General features: G+C 48.2%; 1 protein-coding gene across 14 annotated transcripts in view, besides 2 other annotated features; it reads left to right on the forward strand.

The window, feature by feature from the left end:
* MOV10 (Mov10 RNA helicase) overlaps window positions 1-22,852 on the forward strand; it is a 26,301-nt gene continuing 3,449 nt past the window's right edge. For 4 of the 14 annotated variants that reach the window (XR_007060173.1, XM_047421080.1, XM_047421082.1 and 1 more), the window contains exons 1-14: window positions 1-291; window positions 410-611; window positions 14,497-14,700; window positions 14,977-15,212; window positions 15,402-15,660; window positions 17,227-17,361; window positions 18,323-18,491; window positions 19,580-19,734; window positions 20,015-20,191; window positions 20,311-20,458; window positions 20,978-21,136; window positions 21,710-21,813; window positions 21,999-22,096; window positions 22,192-22,408. Coding sequence is in view for 13 of the 14 variants with exons in the window: in XM_047421080.1 (XP_047277036.1) it covers window positions 475-611; window positions 14,497-14,700; window positions 14,977-15,212; window positions 15,402-15,660; window positions 17,227-17,361; window positions 18,323-18,491; window positions 19,580-19,734; window positions 20,015-20,191; window positions 20,311-20,458; window positions 20,978-21,136; window positions 21,710-21,813; window positions 21,999-22,096; window positions 22,192-22,408 (2,198 nt within the window). In the remaining variant the exon portion in view is untranslated. The other 10 variants (NM_001286072.2, NM_001389562.1, NM_001389563.1 and 7 more) reach the window with 10 other exon arrangements.
* Window positions 622-1,021: a silencer, noted in NCBI's record as "silent region_1202". NCBI's record gives its function as "represses an Ori minimal core promoter by ATAC-STARR-seq in GM12878 lymphoblastoid cells {active_cell/tissue: GM12878}" and the evidence as "EXISTENCE:reporter gene assay evidence [ECO:0000049][PMID:35858748]".
* Window positions 17,916-18,416: an enhancer, noted in NCBI's record as "H3K4me1 hESC enhancer chr1:113234976-113235476 (GRCh37/hg19 assembly coordinates)". NCBI's record gives its function as "activates a minimal SCP1, AML or CMV promoter by ChIP-STARR-seq in primed H9 embryonic stem cells {active_cell/tissue: H9 hESC(primed)}" and the evidence as "EXISTENCE:reporter gene assay evidence [ECO:0000049][PMID:30033119]".

The following is a 22,852-nucleotide window of genomic DNA, read 5'->3' on the forward strand; positions in this document are numbered from 1 at the left end:
ATTCCGGCCGCAGCCGACCTAGATCCCAGCCCTGCCCTTTGCTCTCCTGCTTTTCACTGAGTCCCGAGGCTCTGGAGGGTGGGCGTGAGGGTAGCCCTGGCTGAGGCTCGGAGGTCCTCCCGGGCTGTTCAGAGGGCCCCAAGCGGTAGCCACGTTCTGATACTGGCTAGAAGCCAGGGGAGGGAGCTTGGGGTAAGGGGAGGGCCCTGAGGGAGGGGTCAGACGCTTTAGGAAAGAGTTAATGCGAAGAGGGGGAGGGGATAGGACGAAGAAACCGAAGGGAAAGCTCAGGTAAGAAAAGAACGGAGGAGGGAAGCCTGGTGGGGAGAAGGGAGCCCGCAGGATCAGGGGTCAGAGTTAGGGGGCTTCCCTCCTGCTGCACCCTCATCTCAGGGCCGCCAACTTCCAGCTGCAGCGGCGACTTTCAGTTTCATTTCCACGGACCCTCCTGCCTGGGCCGCAGCCGCCGCCGCGATGCCCAGTAAGTTCAGCTGCCGGCAGCTCCGGGAGGCGGGCCAGTGTTTCGAGAGTTTCCTGGTCGTTCGGGGACTGGACATGGAGACAGATCGCGAGCGGCTGCGGACCATTTATAACCGCGACTTCAAGATCAGGTACGGGCCGGCCCACTCCCGGCCCCGAATCGCGGGCCCAGCTTGCTGCCACGACCCCCGCGCGAGGGCCACCTTTCCCGCCCCGGGGCGCAGAGGGACGCAGCTCCCCCAGCGGCTCAGGCCAGTCCCGGGGCGGCGCAGACCTCCCCTCCCGCGCCTCGCCCACGCCCCACCAGCGCCGCCCGGAGCCCGCCAGTTCTGCCCGAGCTGGGCCCCTGCGCCAAGTCGCCGCGGAGAGCCTCCCGCGCTGCCCGCGCCCCCGGAGGCCGGAACCCGGGGCCGGGAGCTGCGTCCCGCGTCCATGCGCCGCTCGCGGGGGCTGAGGGACAGCGCTCGCGGTGGGGGAGGGGAGCCTCCAGAGGGGGCCCAGGCATCGCGGGAGCGCGGGTTAGAGGCTGCCTGTTGGGGGCTGCGAGCCCGAGCGCGGGCTTTACAGGGACCTCTGCCACCTTGTTGAGGCGCTGCTGCCTCGGGGGTCCGCTATCTGGGAGAACTGAAGAGGCCCAGGGTAGAAGGGAGAAGCTCAGGAAGCTCTGGAAAGAAGAAAAGGGCACAAACTACGTGCGTACCAAACCTCCATTAGCACCTGTGGCTTCTCCATGGAGACCCAGGGGCAGAGCCAGCCTTCTGGAGGCTCCCTTTCACCCTGTGGCTGAAGGCTCTTTGGTCTCCTTTTCCTGCTACCACCCAAGTGAAAATCAAAGAGTCTTCTGTCACACCACAGAATTGTGCTTCAAAAACACGTTTATCAACAGGCTGCTGCCTTGCGTGGAAAACCAAGAAGCAGTTTAACAAGGGTAAACGTAAAGACTTGTACAAATAAACATAAGGTAGTGGGAATCTGGGCTTAATAACAGACCTCCCGAAAAAGACCTTGGGTTTTAGCAGACCAGAGGGCCAGTATGGGTGAGATATGGCTGCTAAAACAGCTGAAGTCTAAGATTGAGCTAACAGAAGTGTGATTTGGGGTGGGGGAAAAGGGTAGAGACTCTCCATATTGGTGAAATCGTGTCTGGAATATCGTTTTCACTAATGGTTATCACATTTGGAGAGGGATATTAACAGGCTTGAACAACATCTGAGAAGGGGCAAAGATGATGAGGCCCTGTTTTATGTCACCATGCTGGACACTATGGGGACTCTTAAGATGAAAAACACACAATCCCAGAGGAGCATCAGAGGCTATGATATGCATGCAATATACATGTACACAATATAGGATAGTACATGGTAAAATGGAGGATTATACTAGGGATGGTAAGAGAAAAATGCTGGAGGAAAGAGCGAGCATTTGCATCACATGGTATCAACACTTAAGGTATGTGAATTCACCTATATCCACAGAGTACAACATGGCTAGGAAACAAGTCACCTACTTCTTTTGGCTCTGTTAAGGAAAAAGTAATTGGTTAAAACAGTAAGGCTGACTTGACTCAAGGCTATGGTAATAGGGTATTGCAATAGGAAAGAAGAGAGTTGGAGCTCAATTCCGAATACAGCAAAAACAGCGGGGGATTTATGACCAATGAACAGAGTAAGGGGATCAATATATAGAAAATTACTAAGAGGAGTCATAAAGAGTGGGAGGATTTTTGCTCACCTGACCTAACAAGATTCTTGTTAAAGGCAGACCAAGGACTTGTACATCAAAGGCGGGAATGAGGAACTTGATCAGATATCAAGCGTGGTCATGCATCAAGGGTGAGGAGTCTCACTAAAATGACTTCAGTATTCTTGCTAAAACTGAACTAGGTGGGCCTAAGACTGAAGGGTTTGGGGAGGCAAGGTCAAGGGCTAGTCAAAAAGAGGGCTCAGGGGAGTCTAACAAAAGTTTGATCAAGGAGAGTCTTTGTCAGCTCTAAACCAAAGGTACATAGTATGTTTTAGTACTGGGGAAAAACTGGTTGTGTTGGATTGCATACAGAAAGCCAGATATACTGTATATTATGGGTGAATGTAGGCATTTTCCAAAGTAGTTTTTACTGTATGCACTTGTGTTTATGCAGATAAGATACCACTCCTCTGTAATCATTAGGGGATGTGATGGAGAAGATGGCATTGACTTTAGCCTTGAAAGAGATAAAATTTTAGTACATAGAGGAGGTGGAAAGGCCTTCTATGTGGGTTCATATTCTATCCTGAGACCCAGTGAAAGAAACTCAGAAATATTTGCCTCAAAAATAGAAAAATCAGACAGTACAAGGTAATTATCCTTGACTATTTTGGAGTGTTATAATGGATAAGATTGCACTCCTGTGTCACTCCAGAAGACAGAAGCGGGTTTCATCAACTATCCCCGCTCTGTACCCTCATCATGTTGGGGAAATGTATGTTCAGATTAAAGAACTTGCCTACACATCCTTTAAAGCCAGGCTGGAATGCTGTGAAGTCAACCTTCATTTCCCAGTAGGAATTACTTGCTTTTTCTCTGGGCTCTCATGGCTCATTCTTTATACCTTGGGTATAGCCTGGTATTATGGTCACGTTACACTCTGCTTTATGGCACGTGGTCATCTCCTCCTGGTACCAAATCATTGTAATATGCTAAAGCCAGTGTATTATGCTAGCCACGCAAATGCTAGATCCTCTACCTTTAGTCAGGTTTATATCTGTCTGCAGTCCCCAGCATAGAGCTTTGTATGTAGTAGATGCTCAATAAATGCTTGCAGAATCTAAGTGAACTAGCAACTAGAGTTAACTAACAAGAGAATGGGCCATATAGCGGGGGGTATAGCAAGTCACACTCTTTAGGAATTCTAGGAGATTCCTACACTGAGAGGGGATAGGTCTCTCCAGCTAGGTTATTTTATGATGTTATAAAGTGCTCTGCTCTGAACTCTTGCCTTTTCCCACCTACCTTTATTCATTTAGCAAATATAGTTAATGAGGCTCTACTGTGTGCCTGTGCCTTGGTCCTTGCCTCCAAAGAATATAATCTAGTAAAGAGCAGCAGATATGTGTAGACAAACAAATGCAATACAGTAGTATAGGTGCTAGTAATGGTGTTTAGATAGCCCTGCCATTTAGTGGTTGCATTTAACTTTGAACAACTCTCTAAATTTTCCATTTCCCCAACTGTAAGAGTATGTAAAATAGTACCTTTCTCTCGGGGTTGTGAGAGACCAAAATGAGTTGTCCTAGGCAAAGCATTTGTGTGGCTAGCATATTACACTGGCTTTGTTAAGTGGTACCCCTCATTAGTGCGATGATGATTAGGAGTCCATTGTATGGGGTAAGGACTGATGTCACGAAAAGGTTTCTGAGAGAAGATGATTCTTGCTTTGGACAGGAGACTCATTCTTCTACAAGTACTGGCTGAGTGCTTCCTATGAATGGCAAAGCAAAAGTGAGTTGCTAGAAATATACAAAAGGAACCCAACTAACTAAGGAAGGAGGCAGCAGTTAGATAATTATTTAATTACGGTTGTGATGAGTGCTTGTACAGAAAAGTCCAGTATGCATTGAGAGTATATAATTTGGAGATCTGTCCTAGTCTAGCAACCTAGACTAGATCAAGAAACTTAGGCAGAGGTTTCTTGGGGAAAGTGATATTTGAGTAGAATCTTGAAGGATTAATGGGACTTAGAAGGTGTAAAGGGCAAGGGTAGAGTGTACAGGCAGGAACAGCACCTTCAAAGGCTTGGGATGACCTCAGAAGAACGGGAGACCAGCAGGGCCCTGGGTAGGCATTGTGAGGTGTTTTGTTTTGTCTTTAATCTTAATGGAAATAGGAAAACACAGAAAATTTCAAAGTAAGAGTCTGACGTAATCAGATTTAGAAAGATCATTCTGGCTTCTGGCGTGGAGAGTGGCTTGGTGGTTGGACCTCTACCCACAGTAAAAAACACATTTTACTTTGGGACCTGGCATACACAACCTTCACAAAACAATGCCTGCCCTTGAAACAATACATAGTTTCACTCCCTGCTCTCTGATATTTTTTATTCTATTTTATTTCAATTTTATAAAAACCCTGGCTTTGACCCGCTAATGGGAGTTGGAATCCATAGTCTATAGATTGTGAAACTAGATGTCTCTTTAAGATCACTTCCAAATCTGATCATATGTGCTGAAATACCATTCCTCTAGCTTTTGGCCTTTCCTGAACTGGGTCTAAAAAGATTAGCCATTGTTCACCCAACAAACAGCAGGGGCGGCCTAAGGCAGGGCAGTGCAGGCTAAGGATGTCCACAGCACAGAAGTCTGCAGAGGGGCACAGTGATACAAGTAGTTGGGAATGGCTGAAATAAGGATGGATTGACAAGAGGCCAAGTGTGGTTGAGGATGTGTACCTCAATTTCTTTTTCTCTAAAATGGGATGATAATAATTACTACCTCAAAGGGTTGTTTTGAGGATTGAATGAGATAATGCATTCAGGAAACGTTTTCTGTTGATGTTATTGTATTTGCATTATCGTTGTTACTATGGAGGATCTTGGAAGGTGCCATATTAAAGACTTAATTTTGTGGACTATGGAGTTGTAAATTGAGGGAACAAGATCAGATTTGTGTTTGATGACAATTCTGCAGATATAGGGGGTGGCCTAGTGTAGGGGTATGAAGCCAGAGGTAGGGAGAACAGTTAACTGGAACCTAGAAAATTGAGCAAGGGGTATGATCAGGCAGCTCACAGAAGAAATATAAATGACTAATAAAAGAAGGAAAGATCCTTGACTATATTGGTGATCAGAGAAATGCACAGTTTAAAAAGATAGGAGTTTTTGTAATCAAATTGTCAAAAATTTAAAACATTGAAAATTTCTGATGTTAGAGCTTTGGGAAAAGGGCATTTTCTAACTCTTGTTAGTGAGAACATAAATTTGTACAACCTGTTTAAAGGACAATTTGGCAGAACTTATCAAAGTTGTAAAGGTTCATTCTCTTTGACCCAGGTGTTGTACTTTAAGGAATTTATCCCATTAGACTTGCCTACAAGTACAAGGGTTTGTGTGCAAGGATAGTTATTGTAACATTAGGAGTAGCCAGAAATTTCAGGCAGCTTGTCTATCACTAGAGAAAAAAACACACCATGATGCATTCATACATGCTATCTTTTGTAGCCATTCAAAAGGTCATGGTGGTTCTGTAAAGCATTGTTATGGGAGAAGATCCATGGTGGGAAGACGCCTGCTGCAGAATAGTATGTGTAGCATGTATCATCTCATTATTGTGTTTTATATGCATAGAAAAAAATCAGGAAAAACATACATCAAATAGTGGGTTTAATTAATTGCTCCTAATCAAGCAAGTAGTTGGAAGCAAGGGAATTAAGGGCTTTAATGTTTTATGTTAGATACTTGTTTAAATGTTTTAAAAATACTTTTGGGCCGGGCGCGGTGGCTCACGCCTGTAATCCCAGCACTTTGGGAGGCAGAGGTGGGCGGATCACGAGGTCAGGAGATCGAGACCATCCTGGCTAACACGGTGAAACCCCATCTCTACTAAAAATACAAAAAATTAGCTGGGCGTGGTGGCGGGCGCCTGTAGTCCCAGCTACTCAGGAGGCTGAGGCAGGAGAATGGCCTGAACCCGGGAGGCGGAGCTTGCAGTGAGCCGAGATTGTACCACTGCACTCCAGCCTGGGCGACAGAGTGAGACTCCGTCTCAAAAAAAAAAAAAAAAAAAAAAACTTTTGGTGATCACCTTTTCATTTATCTCTTTTTTTTTTTTTTTTTTTAAATCTCTCTCTGTCACTTAGGCTGGAGTGCAGTGGCACGATCTCAGCACACTGCAACCTCCACCTCTCGGGTTCAAGCAATTCTCCTGCCTCAGCCTCCCACGTAGGTGGGATTACAGGCGTGAACCACCATGCCTGGCTAATTTTTGTATTTTTAGTAGAGACGAGGTTTCACCATATTGGTCAGGCTGGTCTTGAATTCCTAACCTCAGGTGATCACCTGCCTTGACCTCCCAAAGTGCTGGGATTACAGGCGTGAGCTACTGCACCCGGTTCATTTATCTCTTTTTGCAGGCATGCTTATATCACACCTACATAAGTTTACACACGTGGGATCATTATCACATATCATTTTTATTGTGGACCCCTCCCCTTATGGGCATCCAACCTCCATTTCCACATTCCGCCCTGTACTCAGGTACCTCTTGATATCAATCAGGGTGGTTTTTTTAGTCATTGTTTTATTTAAAAAGAATCATGTTTGGCCGGGCTCAGTGGCTCAAACCTGTAATCCCAGCACTTTGGGAGGCCAAGGCGGGTGGATCACCTGAGGTCAGGAGTTTGAGACCAGTCTGGCCAACATGGCGAAACCCCGTCTCTACTAAAAAATACAAAAAATTAGCTGGGCGTGGTGGCGGGCGCCTGTAATCCCAGCTACTCGGGAGGCTGAGGCAGGAGAATCACTTGAACCCGGGAGGCGGAAGTTGCAGTGAGCCAAGATGGCGCCATTGCACACCAGCCCGGGCGACAGACCAAGACTCTGTCAAAAGAATCATGTTATTCACATCATCCACGTCCTACTCTCTCAACTGTGTGATGGGAATCACTCGTAGGCATATGGCATAGACCTCTAATGCATTGTTGGGATTTTTTCCCCAATATCATACTATAATAAATTTTAAACATAAAGAAAAGTTGAAATGAATCTACAGTGAACATCCACATACCCTTACCTAGATTTCTTTTAACGTTTTACACATATCTGCCCATAGATCCATCCCGCTATTCATTTAGCAAGTCATCTTAATTTTCCTGATGCATTTCAAAATAAGTTACAGACATCAGTACACTTCACTCCAACAAATTATTATTAATTATTTAGCGTGATTATTATCAGCTAGAGTTCAAAATTTATGTTATGTTTGCCTAGAAATAAAAAAAAATTGTTTATGGGTTTTTTTTTTTTTTTAGACAGTTTTGCTCTTGTTACCCAGGCTGGAGTGCAATGGCGCAGTCTTGGCTCACTGCAACCTCCGCCTCTGGGATTCAAGCAATTCTCCTGCCTCAGCCTCCCAAGTAGCTGGGACTACAGGCATGCGCCACCATGCCCAGCTAATTTTTTGTATTTAGTAGAGACGGGGTTTCACCATGTTGGCCAGGCTGGTCTTGAACTCCTGACCTCAGGTGATCCACCCGCCTTGGCCTCCCAAAGTGCTGGGATTACAGGCGTGAGCCATCGCGCCCGGCCATGGGTTTTTTGTTGTTGTTGTTTGGGTTTTGGTTTTTTGTTTTTTTAAGTCAAGGTCTTGCTCCGTTGTCAAGACTGGAGTACAGTGGCATGAACATAGCTCACTGCAGCCTCAACCTCCCAGACTCAGGCTATCCTCCCACCTCAGCCTCCTGAGTAGCTGGGACCATAGGCGTGTGCCACTATGCCCAGCTAATTTTTCATTTTTTGTGGAGATGGGGTCTGTCTATATTGTGCAGGGTGGTCTTGAACTTTTGGGATTACAGGTATGAACCACTGTGCCGGGCCTTTAAGCAAAATTTGCAAACAGCAAAATGTTCAAATTGTAAGTGTACTGTTCTGTGAGGTTTAACAAATGCATATATCTGTGTGCAAACGCCTGTTGAGGTACAGAACATCACATCACTCCAGAAAGCTCCCTCGTGCCCTTTCCTAGTCAGTCCTCACTCTTACTCACCCAGAAGCAACCACTGCTCTGATTTTTTCATGACAGTACCTGTTCTAGAAATTCATTTAATGGAATCATATAGTATGTACTGTTGTGTAAGGCAACTTTCACTTAGCGTAATGTTTTTGAGATTCATCCACAATGTATCAGTAGTTTCTTTTTTATCACTTAGTAGTATTCCATTGTATGAATCCAAATCACAGTTTGTATATTTATTCCCCTGTTTATGGACAGTGTTTTTAGTTTGGGGCTCTTCTGAATGAAGCTCCTAGGAACATCTTTTTTTTTTTTTTTTGAGACGGAGTCTTGCTCTGTTGCCCAGGCTAGAGTGCAATGGCATGATCTTGGCTCACTGCAACCTGCACCTCCCAGGTTCAAGCAATTCTCCCGCCTCAGCCTCCTGAGTAGCAGGGATTACAGGTGCCTGCCACAACGCCTGGCTAATTTTTTTTTTTTTTGTAGAGACGGGGTTTCACTGTGTTTGCCACGCTGGTCTCGAACTCCTGACCTCAAGTGTTCCATCCGCCTTGGCCTCCCAAAGTGCTGGGATTACAGGCGTGAGCCACCGTGCCCAGCCAGGAACATCTTATACAAGTCATTTTGTGGACTTACATTTTAATTTCTTTTGGGATGTAACTAGGAGTGGAATTTTTGAGTCATAGGATAGGCATATGTTTAGTTTTACAAGGAACTATTAGACCTTTTCCCAAAGTGCTTAAACCATTTTACAGACCAACAAACAATGCATGAGAGTTTGGGTTGTTGTATTTTTTATTTTTTTGAGACAAAATCTCATTCTGTCACCCAGGATGGAGTGCAGTGGCACAATTGTGGCAGACTGCAGCCTCAAGGGCCCAGCTAATTTCTTAATTTTTTTGTAGAAACAGGGTCTTGCTATGTTTCCCAGGATGGTCTTGAACTTCTCAGTTGAAGTGATCCTCCTACCTCAGCCTTCCAAAGTGCTAGGATTACAGGCATGATCCGCTGTGCCTGGCCTGGTTGTTCCGTATCCTTACCAGTGTTTCGTATTGTGAGCCTTTTAAATGTTAGCCATTTGAGTGGGTGTGGTACATCTTTTCAATGGCTGCATAATATCCCACGGTATGAGTGCTTACAATGTGTTCACCTTTCACTCTGTTGATGGGCATTTGTTTAATTTTCAATTCTTGACCACTGTGAGTGACTCTGCAGTAAGTATCCTTGCACATATGTCTTTATACATTGGTACTTTTCTTCCCATGGGACACATTCCAGGAACAGTGTTACTGGGTTTTGTGGGGTTTTGTTTTATCTTTTAAATTTAAATTTTATTTTATTTTATTTTTTGAGTCAGGGTCTTGCTCTGTTGCCCAGACTGGAGTGCAGATCTGCAATCATAGCTCTCTGTAACCTCAAAGTCCTGGGCTCAAGCAATCCTCACACCTCAGCCTCCTGAGTAGCTGGGACTACAGGGGTGTGCCACCACACCTGACTAATTTTTTTTTTTAATTCTTTGTAGAGACAGGGACCTGCTATGTTTCTTAGGCTGATATCAAACTCCTGGGCTCAAGTGATCCTCCCACCTCAGCCTCCCAAAGTGCTAGGATTAGAGGCGTGAGCCACCATGCCCAGTCCCTGGGATTTTTTTTTTTTTTTTTTTTTTGTGACAGAGTTTGGTTCTTGTTGCCCAGGCTGGAGTGCAATGGCGCGAACTCAGCTCACTGCAACCTCCGCCTCCTGGGTTCAAGCGATTCTCCTGCCTCAGCCTCCTGAGTAGCTGGGATTAGAGGTGCCTGCCACCATGCCCAGCTAATTTTTTCTATTTTTAGTAGAAATGGGTTTCTCCATGCAGGTCAGGCTGGTCTCAAACTCCCGACCTCAGGTGATCCGCCCGCCTCAGCCTCCCAAAGTGCTGGGATTACAGGCGTGAGCCACCGTGCCCGGACAGTCCCTGGGTTTTAAAGGATACCTGTATTTTAAATATTTGTAGATGTTGCCAGATTGTTTTCCCAAAAGATGGCAATACTTGACTCTTCTACCAGCAATTTATGAGTTCACTTTTCCACATACCCATTATAGTAATATATGCTAGAACTATGTTCATTTTTGTCAGTCTAATGGGAATAAAATAATATCTCATTTATACTTTAATTTGCATTTCTCTACATTTGGAGCAGTTTTTCATACTCTTTTGGCCATCTGGATCTGTTCTTTTAATTGAATATTCGATTTTTCTGTTGAATTGTTCATCTTGTCAATTTGTAAGAAAATTTATATATTATAAAAATTAGCCCTTTGCCTGTCATCTGCATTATGAGTATTTATCTGGTATTTATCTGTTGAATGTGTTTATATTACCTTTTGCTAGAGAAAATATTTTTTAGTAGTCAGAAATGTTTGTTTTCTTTTTTAGAGACAGGGTTACCCAAGCTCTGTTAACCAAGCTGGAGTGCAGTGGCGTAATCACAGCTCACTGCAGCCTTGACCTCCTGGGCTCAAGTGATCCTTCTGCCTCAGCCTCCTGAGTAGCTGGGACTACAGGTGTGCACCACCATGCCTGGCTTTTTTTTTTTTTTTTTTTCACTATTGCCCAGGCTGGTCTCAAACTCCTGGGCTCAAGCAGTCCTACCACCTCAGCTTCCCAAAGTGTTGGGATTACAGGCATGAGCCACCACACTTGACCTAGTTTTATTTTATAGCTGCTGGTTTCCAGTCTTGGTTAGAAAGTTTTTCTTAGAAATATAGGGGATTACGGCCGGGCACGGTGGCTCACACCTGTAATCCCAGCACTTTGGGAGGCCGAGGCGGGCAGATCAGGAGGTCAAGAGATTGAGACCATCCTGGCTAACATGGTGAAATTCTGTCTCTACTAAAAATAGAAAAATTAGCTGGGTGTGGTGGCGTGCACCTGTAGTCCCAGCTACTTAGGAGGCTGAGGCAGGAGACTCACTTGAACCCGGGAGGCAGAGGTTGCAGTGAGCCAAGATCGTGCCACTGCCCTCCAGCCTGGTGATAGAGCAAGATTCCGTCTCAATAAAATAAAATAAAATAAAATAAAATAAAATATAAAATAAAATAAATATAGAGGATTACATGTATAATACAAGGATTGGGGCTTTTTTCCGACAAGAATATAATAAGTTTGTGATTTTTTAAAAATAATTTTTGTATGACTGTTACCTAGACCAATGTTAGGTGAATTTGGGTAGTGATGAGAGACATAGAGAATAATTTGAGAAATATTTAGGGATAGCATCTGCAGTAGAATTTGGAAATTTTACAGAGATGAGTTCTGTCTGCCCTTGTGCCATGCAGGTTTTCAAAAATAGGAGGTTTCATGTTAAAATTTTGATTTTGTCTTTTCTTGAAAGTCAGATCTGGCCATCCGGGGCCTGCATTCCCTACTGGCCCCGTTCGAAGATAAGCAGTTACCTGCTTCAGACAGGGCATGCACTTCCCAGTTTGTTCAGTCCCCACAAAGCCCTCTTTCTGCCCAGCATTGATCTGGGAGCCTGGAGCCACTTTTCTTGGAGGTTGCACTTTGTTTTCTTAGCGTTGTGAGGGATATGCATGCAGTATTCTTACACTAGTGACTCTCAAAAATGGACTGAACAGGTGTCTGAAAGGGCTGCAAGGATCAAGATACCTGTGAAGCATAGCTGCTGTAGGCATTAGCTTGTGCCTCGATCCATGGGACTTTGATGGACTCTAAGAAGCCCTTGTGAAAGTTACTGATGATCTCCTGATTTCAGTCCCTGTATTACTGGACCCCTCAGCAGCTTTTGATCCTGATACCTGATTTTGAGACTTTGCTGATTCTCCTTTCTCTCTTGAGGGTTTCTTGTTTTCCCTTCCTCCCCGGGTTGTGCTAGTAGCTGCTCTCAACTACTCACACTCCCTGGGGAGATTCCTACACTTCCTTGATTATAACCACTACCTGGGGACTCCCTAATACTAGGCTGTAACCTTGACTTTGGCCTGAGTTCTCAGCTTCTGACTCGTGGAGCTGGTTGCCTCTGGACCACAGGAATCTCAAACGCATCATATCCAAATCCAAATGTCATGGTCAGTCCCTCCAACCCCTCCTCCTCTTGTCTTACATCCTATCTCAGAGATAGTCCTAGAAGCCAGGCCATTGATTTGGGGATCCTAGACTCATCCCTCTTCCCAGCCTTCATTCCCCCTTCTGTCAGTCACCAAATTTCTGCTAATTTTACATTCTAAGTATTAGCGAATCTTGCCGCTCTTCTTCTGTATCTCTACCCACTGCCTTGCTCAGGCCTTTGTTATCTTTTAACTGGACAATTGCAAGGGCCTTCTTCTAACTGGTCTCCCTGCCTACAGTCTTGCCTCCAGCAAATCCATCCTCCAATCCTGATGCCAGAGTGATCTGAAATGCAAATATGATCTTGCCACTCCCCTGCTTAAAACCCACCAACCGCAGTGGTTCTGTAACCACAGTGTAGCCTCTGACGTGGGCTGAAAGTAAGTTGTTACTACTCCTACTACTACTGCTACTATTAGTACTACTATTTCTACTAATATAAATACTAACAATAGTAGCTAACATTTACTGAGCATTTTCTATTATGCTTTTGAATGATTTATTACCTTTTTAAAACAAATCATAGCCAATTCAATGTTTTCCAAATTGTACCAGTCTCATTTGCTTGGGGTGAAGGAGAGGGGCAGAGTTACAGGCAGCAGGCACCTGAAAAATACTCATAACCATAAATGATCTTATCACATACCCTAGTGAGTGACCATGATGATTTAGCCTGAAGAGTTAAATAGGAATTACCATAGTCCTCATAAACAAAGATTTGCTTTTAAGGGAGGGTGTCAGTCATCTAGATCTTGAATATGTCCCTGAAGTATGTGGCACGTGGGAATGTCCTCAGGCTCCTGGGTATCAGTAGAGCGGGGAAAACGACTGCAGACATGCAGAGTCAAGTCCAGGCTTGGCCTGTTGTGCAAAACTGTCCATGATCTGGTCCCTGCCCACCTCTGCTCCTCCTGCCACTCCCTTCCTTGTGCATTTCACTCTAGCACAATGAAACTGTATGTGATACTAATCATGGCTCACCCTTACTGAGGTCTCCTATGTGCCAAGCACTGTGCTAAGTGGTTCTCTGCCGTGTCAAAATCTCATGTAAACCTCACAGCAACCCTACGAGGTAAGTCTCGCTTTCCTCCAATTTTATAGAGGAGGAAAGCGAGGCTCTGAGAGGTGAGGTCAACTGAGCTGACCTGGCTAGAGTTGTCAAGTGGGCCGCCCCCCTCTGCCCCTCCCTGCACATGTTCTTGCGTACCTCTCACATCTGCTTACACTTCGCGCTCCCTCTTGTGCCCAGGTAATGCCCACTCATCCTCAGGACTCAGTTCTTATGCTGCCTCCTGGGAAGGCCTTCATGGACACCTCCTCTGCCCCCAGACTGGGCTCAGTGTCCCTCTGTGGCACTGAGCCCCTCTGTGGCCGATGAGCTGCCCTCCAAGCACCACGCTGGAATGTATATGTTCAGTCTGTGTGCTCCTCGAGGCAAGCGCTGAGTTTCTAGCATCTTTGAACCCCTAGCATCCAGCATAGTGTCTGGCACATAACAGGCCTCCGTAAGTGTTTGTTGAATTGACTGAACTGAACTCCAGGCACTGAGCCTTGAGGTTATTGTCCTTCTGACCAGTTTTCCCTGTCTTCACCTTCTCTAGGCACAAAGCCAGGCTATTTGATCTCTGGAGAAGGATCCTTTCCCTTCCTGCTTGGGTTCCACCTGCACCCTATGACTTCGGGTGGAAACTGCTGTCTGATCAGCCACCTTGCCCACACACTTGGACATCTGTACTGTCTCTGATCCCTTCTCTCCTCACCAACAGGCTGGACCCCACATCCACCCCTCTGAATCAAATCATTCCGCTTCCCCTTAGCCTCAGCTCTTTCTTCTGGGTTGTTTGTATTTTCTTTTCTGTCCCAAACAGTTTCCCCCACAAAAAGAACTTTATGTCTTTCTCTGTCTTCCCTCAGTCCTTCCAGTCAGCAGCCTGTGATTGGGCTTTTCCCCTCAGAAACGAACAATCCAGAACCCACTGTTTAAAACAACTGTATTTTGCCTTGGGAAGTCCCATTGCCTTCCCTGAAAACATTAAACATTCCTCCGATCCCCAGCCTGAGTCTCTCTGTCTCTGGGCCCCATCCTGCTCCACAGCAGGGCTGGTGTGTCCAGCACAGAGTGACCCTCCGATGCCCTTTCCCACCCGCCGCCCTGCCTCCCTCGAGCCCTGCCTTCCCTCACTTCCCAGTCTCCTCTGCTTCTGGCAGCTTTGGGACCCCCGCCCCTGGCTTCTCCTCCATGCTGTATGGAATGAAGATTGCAAATCTGGCCTACGTCACCAAGACTCGGGTCAGGTTCTTCAGACTCGACCGCTGGGCCGACGTGCGGTTCCCAGAAAAGAGGAGAATGAAGCTGGGGTCAGATATCAGCAAACACCACAAGTCACTGCTAGCCAAGATCTTTTATGACAGGTGTGTGTGTGTTGTATGTTGTGTGTACGGGGAGGTCTGCAGGGTGTGAGGGAAGGGGGCTATCTGTGTGAGGAAAGAGTGGGTTACACAAGTGGGAATAAGTCCCCCTCCTTCAGGGAATGGGGGAAGGGCAGGGAACTGGTCTGCTGGGAGGGGGTGAGTTTCCTAAGCACAGCTGGCACTTTGCCTGCCTCCCAAGCCTAAAGCTTTCCCCAGGGTAACTCCCCAGTCAGACCGCTCCCACCCCAACCCCCCCTTGACTCCCCTTCTCCCCAGGGCTGAGTATCTTCATGGGAAACATGGTGTGGATGTGGAAGTCCAGGGGCCCCATGAAGCCCGAGATGGGCAGCTCCTTATCCGCCTGGATTTGAACCGCAAAGAGGTGCTGACCCTGAGGCTTCGGAATGGCGGAACCCAGTCTGTTACCCTCACTCACCTCTTCCCACTCTGCCGGACACCCCAGTTTGCTTTCTACAATGAAGACCAGGAGTTGCCCTGTCCACTGGGCCCCGGTGAGTGAGTTTCCAAAGGAAAGAGCTGGTGGACAGGGGCTTGTCCCAGGCAGTGCTTATGCTTTGGGAAACACACTGTCACTGTCCATGGGACTCTTGCCTTGGGATGGGGCTTCCTGGGGGAGTGTCCGGGATAAGGATATGGGTGGGAGGGTCCCTACCCCCATTCACTCATCCATTCTCCTCCAGGTGAATGCTATGAACTCCATGTCCATTGTAAGACCAGCTTTGTGGGCTACTTCCCAGCCACAGTGCTCTGGGAGCTGCTGGGACCTGGGGAGTCGGGTTCAGAAGGAGCCGGCACATTCTACATTGCCCGCTTCTTGGCTGCCGTCGCCCACAGCCCCCTGGCTGCACAGCTGAAGCCCATGACTCCCTTCAAGCGGACCCGGATCACCGGAAACCCTGTGGTGACCAATCGGATAGAGGAAGGAGAGAGACCTGACCGGTAACTCCTCCCTCCAACTCAGCCCTGGCTGGGCTCGTATCTCAACCACATGGGCCAGGGCTTTGGGAAGAGCACAGAGCTGGGAGCCAGAGCCCTTTTCCTACAGGCTCTTCACTCTTCTGGGTCTCAGAGAATTTTTCTGTCAAGGAAGAAAGTTGCAGATGAACTGCAGATCTGAGGACAGAGTGAAAACAGTTTTAGGCATTGTCCCTGTGTGATGCATTATCAGGCAGATCATTGTAGACATCTCTGTTTTGTTTTGTTTTTTGTTTTTGTTTTGAGATGGAGTCTTGCTCTGTCGCCCAGGCTGGAGTGCGGTGGTGTGATCTCAGCTCACTGCAACCTCCGCCTCCTGGGCTCAAGCAATTCTCCTGCCTCAGCCTCCTGAGTAGCTGGGATTACAGGCGCCCACTACAACACCCGGCTAATTTTTGTATTTTTAGTAGACATGGGGTTTCACCATGTTGGCCAGGCTGGTCTCGAACTCCTGACCTCAAGTGATCCGCCAGCCTCGGCCTCCCAAAATGCTGGGATTACAGGGGCGAGCCACCGTGCCCAGCCAACATCTCTGTTTTTTTAAACAGCTGTATTGAGATAATTCACATACCATATGATTCACCCATTTAAATTACACAATTCAGTAATTTTTTTAGTATATTCACAAATATGTGACACTATCACCACCATCGGTTTTAGAACATTTCATTATCCCAAAAAGCTATCACCCTTTTATCCTCCACCCACTTTGTTCAGCCCTAAGAAACTGCTCATCTACTTCCTGTCTCTGTAGATTTCTCTGTGCTGGATACTTCATATGGATGGAAGCGTAGGATATGTGTAGACATCTCTTTTTGTTTTTGCTAGATGTTCACAAAATACTGAGTTATAAAAGCAAACTAGCCGGGTGTGGTGGCTCACACCTGTAATCCCAGCATTTTGGGAGGCTGAGGCGGGCAGATCACTTGAGGTCAAGAGTTTGAGATCAGCCTGGCCAACATGGTGAAATCCCATTTCTACTAAAAATACAAAAAAATTAGCCGGGTGTGGTGGCGCATGCCTGTAGTCCCAGCTACTCTACTCAGGAGCTGAGGCAGGAGAATTGCTTGAACCTGGGAGGCGGTGGTTGCAGTGAGCCGAGATTGCGCCATTGCACTTCAGCCTGGGCAACAGAGTGGGACTCAAAAAAGAAAAAAAAGCAAACTACATAATAGGACCTTCACAGACCATTGTGCTCTTTTTGTTGACTATATATGTATAACAGAAACTTACAGGGAAAAAAGTCTGGTAGTTAACATTGGTTATTCCTGGATGGTAAGAATGATATTTACTTATTACCTATTACCTGATTTTTTTCTCTAGTGATCATTTATTACTTAGATAATAGTTTTAAAGGTTTCCAAGTATCGCATGTTCCAAAAATGAGAGTAGTCCACCCTTGGAGCGAGGCTGCTGACTTCCCTTCAGCAGTAGGATTGCAGGAGGGCTTTGTGCATCCACCCCAGAGGGGCGTTCTCAGAGTGTTGGAGGGTGAGGGGTTTTCTGTGTTTTCTTCCCTCGATTCTGCAGCGCTAAGGGCTATGACCTGGAGTTAAGTATGGCGCTGGGGACATACTACCCACCTCCCCGCCTCAGGCAGCTGCTCCCCATGCTTCTTCAGGGAACAAGTATCTTCACTGCCCCTAAGGAGATCGCAGAGATCAAGTAAGTACCATCCCTCTGCACCCCGCACTCTCCCGTCTTTTACCTACTGGCTTCTTTGCATTGCCCTGGCACCTCCGTCCTCAGCCTCCCAGGCTGTATTCATTCATTCCCTTACTGAGCACGCACCATACACCAAGCACCATTCAAGGTGAACCAGTCAAATGAAGGCCTGGCTCATTTTAATGGGGGACAATGAGCATTTTTGTTACAATTTCATGGAGTGATGAGTGCTGTGAAGAACTAAACAGGTCAGGTGTAAGTGGCTCATGCCTGTAATCTCAGCACTTTGGGAGGCCGAGGCAGGTGGATCATTTAAGCCCAAGAGTTCAAGACCAGCCTGGGGCAACATAGTGAGATTCTGTCTCTACAAAAAAAAATTTTAATTAGCCAAGTGTGGTGGCACATGTCTGTAGTCCCAGCTACTTGTGAGGCAGAGGTGGGAGAATTTCTTGAGCCCAGGAGGTTGAGGACACAGTGAGTGAGCCCAGATCATGCCACTGCACTCCAGCATGGGTGACAGAGCAAGATCTTGTCTCTAAAAAAGATGAACAGAACTATACTGAAACTAAAGCAGGGTTAGGGAATGGGTTGGTGCTGCTTTGCAGAAGGCCAGTTAGTCCTGGCCTGTTTGAGGTAGTGATGTTTGAACAGAGAAGGACATTTGAATGAGGTGAGGGTGGGAGTCATGAGAGGATTGGAGGAGAATGTTCTGGCCATAAGAGCCACCATGCAAATGCAAGTCGGGTGAGGTGGGGGCAGGGGCATCCAAGGAAGCAGGAGCCAAGGCTTCCTTCTTCAGGGCCTCTGACTCTCATCCACTTCTGTATCCCTCTAGTCTTCTCTGCTTTTTGACGCTAGTTCCAGAGCTTCAGGTGGGAGAAGGTGGATACTCCTGGGCATAGGGGTTGTCTGGCCCATCCTGTTCCTGCCCCCACTCACCCCTCCCAACCATCATTTCCAGGGCCCAGCTGGAGACAGCCCTGAAGTGGAGGAACTATGAGGTGAAGCTGCGGCTGCTGCTGCACCTGGAGGAACTGCAGATGGAGCATGATATCCGGCACTATGACCTGGAGTCGGTGCCCATGACCTGGGACCCTGTGGACCAGAACCCCAGGCTGCTCACGCTGGAGGTCAGGGCTCAGATTGAGTGTGAGGAGGGTGGGCTCAAGCCAGCCAAGCTAGAGGCTGTGGGCAGAACTATTCCTGACAGCAGGGCAGAACAAGAGGAAAGTTGAAGTGGTTCCCAGGGCTCCGCAAGAAGCAGGGTGGGCATCCTGTGCCCAAAGATGTGTTGGAGCAGGGAAATGGGGAAGATCTGGGTTCTAGTCCAGGCTTTGCTACCACCTTGGGTAAGTCCCTGGCTTTCTCTAAGCCTTAGTTCCCTTATCTGAAAAGCACAGAGCTGGACTGGATAATTCTTAGAGCTCTTTCTGGCTCTTGGATTTTCAATGTGTGCATATAAGCCCAAAATTACACACGAGAATGGATTTCTACACACAATTGCAGGTGGGAATTAGAGGGTGAGTTTGTTCAAGGAAAGATTACTGCAGGAAGTGAGTTTTGAACAAGTTTTTTGTTGTTGTTGTTTTTGTTTTGAGACAGGGTCTCACCCTGGTGCTCAGGCTGGAGTGCAATGGCATGATCTTGGCTCGCTTTAATCCCCGCCGCCCGGGCTCAAGTGATCCTCCCAAGTAGCTGGGACCACAGACATGCCCCACTACGCCTGGCTAATTTTTGTATTTTTTGTAGAGATGGGGTTTTGCCACATTGGCCAGGCTGGTCTCGCAACACCTGGACTCAAGTGATCCGCCTGCCTCAGTCTCCCAAAGTGCTGGGATTACAGGCGTGAGCCACCATGCCTGGTCCGTTTTTTTTTTTTTTTTTTTTTAATTATTTTTTTAGCAACCCGATTAACTGATGAACAGGATTTTTATAGGCAGAGCAGGAACTGAGCTGGCCAAGAGGGCAGCTGCACTGGAGGCTCCGGGTTCCTGGGCTCGGCATCTCTGGGCAGCTTCGGAGGATTTGTCTTCTTCCTCTTCCCCTGACTCCTGCTGGTATGAAAGGAAAGAGGGGTGCAGGGATAGCATAACTCCCTGAGTCTTAGGTTAGAAGGCCAGTCTCAGTCCTTGTCCCTTAAAGGTCTGGGGAACCTGGGGGCTGGGCCCTCCAGCGTCCATCCCTGGGACAGAAGCTTGCTTGTGTTCACACCCCATAGGTTCCTGGAGTGACTGAGAGCCGCCCCTCAGTGCTACGGGGCGACCACCTGTTTGCCCTTTTGTCCTCGGAGACACACCAGGAGGACCCCATCACATATAAGGGCTTTGTGCACAAGGTGGAATTGGACCGTGTCAAGCTGAGCTTTTCCATGAGGTGGGTGTTGGGGGAACCCTGAGCTGCTGGAAGGGTCTACAGACTTCTGACCCCAGGGGAGGAGGAGTGTTTCTCCCTGAGATAAATGAGACCCCGGGGCAGAGCAGGAGACTTTTCCTCAGGGGTACCCTGAGATGCTACGGCAGCTTCCTCTTCTAGAGAACTTGCATAGAGGTCTTGGAAAGAGGGGTTGGGACACTGGTTGGTGGAGAAAGTTCTGGCCCTTTATTGCCCACCTCCCCTGCCCCAACAAACTCTTACCACCTCTCTCTGCCCAAAGCCTCCTGAGCCGCTTTGTGGATGGGCTGACCTTCAAGGTGAACTTTACCTTCAACCGCCAGCCGCTGCGAGTCCAGCACCGTGCCCTGGAGCTGACAGGGCGCTGGCTGCTGTGGCCCATGCTCTTTCCTGTGGCACCTCGGGACGTCCCGCTGCTGCCCTCAGATGTGAAACTCAAGTGAGACTGTGGGCAGGGAGCTTCTGGAGCCACTTGGAGTGTGGGCACAGGGGGTGGAGTCAGGGAGGCCTCTGGGTCACTGGATGACTTCAAGTTCACATTCCTGGTCCCTCTGCCAGGCTGTACGACCGGAGTCTGGAGTCAAACCCAGAGCAGCTGCAGGCCATGAGGCACATTGTTACGGGCACCACCCGTCCAGCCCCCTACATCATCTTTGGGCCTCCAGGCACCGGCAAGACTGTCACGTTAGTGGAGGCAATTAAGCAGGTGGGGTCTGAGCACAAACCTGGGGCCTGCACTCTGATTCCCCCAGCACCAAGCAGTTGTCCCCAGATTCTAGTTCCTTCCCACTCCCGAAATGCTCCTGCTTCTAAGCAGCCATCAGAAAGAGAGGTAGGGGCCGGGTGCAGTGGCTCATGCCTGTAATCTCAGCACTTGGGGAAGACTAGCCCAAGGAGTTCAAGACCAGCCTGGACAATATTGCAAGACCCTATCTCTATGAAAAATATGAAAAATAGCTGGGCACTTGAGGCTGCAGTGCGATTGTGCCACTGCACTCCATCCTGGGTGACAGAGTGAGACTCTGTCTCAAAAAAAAGGGTGGGGATTGGGGAAGTGGGAAGTTAGGGTAAATGTGGCTGTGGAGCACTGTTGTACGGGTAGGGCACTGCATGAATCTTGGAGTCACCATTCACATTTCAGTCATCATAGACTTGCCCTGCCCCAGCCTGGGTACGGCTGAGTCTCAGGAACCTGCCTCCCACACTGCGCTTATCTGCATCTCAGGTGGTGAAGCACTTGCCCAAAGCCCACATCTTGGCCTGCGCTCCATCCAACTCAGGGGCTGACCTACTCTGTCAAAGGCTCCGGGTCCACCTTCCTAGCTCCATCTACCGCCTCCTGGCCCCCAGCAGGGACATCCGCATGGTACCTGAGGACATCAAGGTACTAGGGAAGTGCAGAGGGCCAAAGAATGGCAAATGCCGGGGAGGCTCTCAGGGCAGACACTGAGGCGAGGAAGCTAGGAGACCTGGATTCTGATACTTGCTATGTGACCTTGGGTTGGACAGGACCCCTCCCTGGGCCTCAGTTTGTCTGTAAGTGAGGGGGGTGGATAAAACATTTGGGGGGCTGGGTGCAGTGGCTTACACTTGTAATCCCAACACTTTGAGGGGCGAGGCAGATGGATTACCTGAGGTCTGGAGTTTGAGACCAGCCTGGCCAACATGGCAAAATCCCGTCTCTACTAAAAATACAAAAAAATCAGCTGAGTATGGTGGCGCGTGCCTGTAGCCCCAGCTACTCGGGAGGCTGAGGCACGAGAATTGCTTGAACCCAGGCGGCGGAGGTTGCAGTGGGCCAAGATCACACCATGGCACTCCAGCCTGGGGGACAGCGAGACTCCGTCTCAATTAAAAAAAATAAAAATAATTGTTTGAGGGGGGGTACCCACAGCCAGAATCACGGTGGGAATGAGTGGAGCCAAGCTGATTCCTCTGGTCCCTTCACAATCCACAGCCCTGCTGCAACTGGGACGCAAAGAAGGGGGAGTATGTATTTCCCGCCAAGAAGAAGCTGCAGGAATACCGGGTCTTAATTACCACCCTCATCACTGCCGGCAGGTGGGGAGTGTGTGTGGGTGTGTCTCTGAATCGTAAGTGTAATTAAAGGGGTACCGGGCTGGGGAAATGGGGAAGAATGGTTTCCGGAGTGGGGTGGTGGGTGCTGAGAAGCCAGCCTGGGAAAGCATTCAGGTTTGGTAGTTGGGTGCCTGGATATGACCCCTGCCTGGCCTGACACCTCCCAGGTTGGTCTCGGCCCAGTTTCCCATTGATCACTTCACACACATCTTCATCGATGAGGCTGGCCACTGCATGGAGCCTGAGAGTCTGGTAGCTATAGCAGGTGAGGGACTCAGGTGGGGCTGCAGGTATACACCCTGTGTGGGTCAGAGAGGTTGCACCACTTACCTTTCTTCCCACACCTCTTCTGCTTCCCAGGGCTGATGGAAGTAAAGGAAACAGGTGATCCAGGAGGGCAGCTGGTGCTGGCAGGAGACCCTCGGCAGCTGGGGCCTGTGCTGCGTTCCCCACTGACCCAGAAGCATGGACTGGGATACTCACTGCTGGAGCGGCTGCTCACCTACAACTCCCTGTACAAGAAGGGCCCTGATGGCTATGACCCCCAGTTCATAACCAAGCTGCTCCGCAACTACAGGTATTCCCATGCCCTTGCCTCCCCTGCCATATCCTATGCTTTCACATCCTGCATGCAGACCCCACTGGAGAGTCTGGCTTGCTGTCAGTCCTGTTGCTCAGAGGTTGTGTGATGCAGAAAGACTAAACTGGAAGGCAGGAGGTTTTTCTAGCCCCAGCACTGCTGCTTGTTGTCTGCGTGACTTAGCCAGTGGTTTCACACTACACCAGTCAGCTTATCTGCATCTTAGGGGGTGGTCAGTGGTTCCTAGAGGCTAGGGTGTGTCTGGTACCAGTCCCAGATGAAGTTTTCAGGCAATCCAAGGAGAGATAAGAAAAATAGGGAGGAGGTCGGGCACAGTGGCTCATGGCTGTAATCCCAGCACTTTGGGAGGCCAAGGTAGGTCAGGCTCCCACCCCCGATCACTTGAGGTCAGGAGTTTGAGACCAGCCTGTCCAACATGGT

This window comes from Homo sapiens, chromosome 1 (genome assembly GCF_000001405.40).
Source record: "Homo sapiens chromosome 1, GRCh38.p14 Primary Assembly".
Classification (NCBI taxonomy): domain Eukaryota; kingdom Metazoa; phylum Chordata; class Mammalia; order Primates; family Hominidae; genus Homo; species Homo sapiens.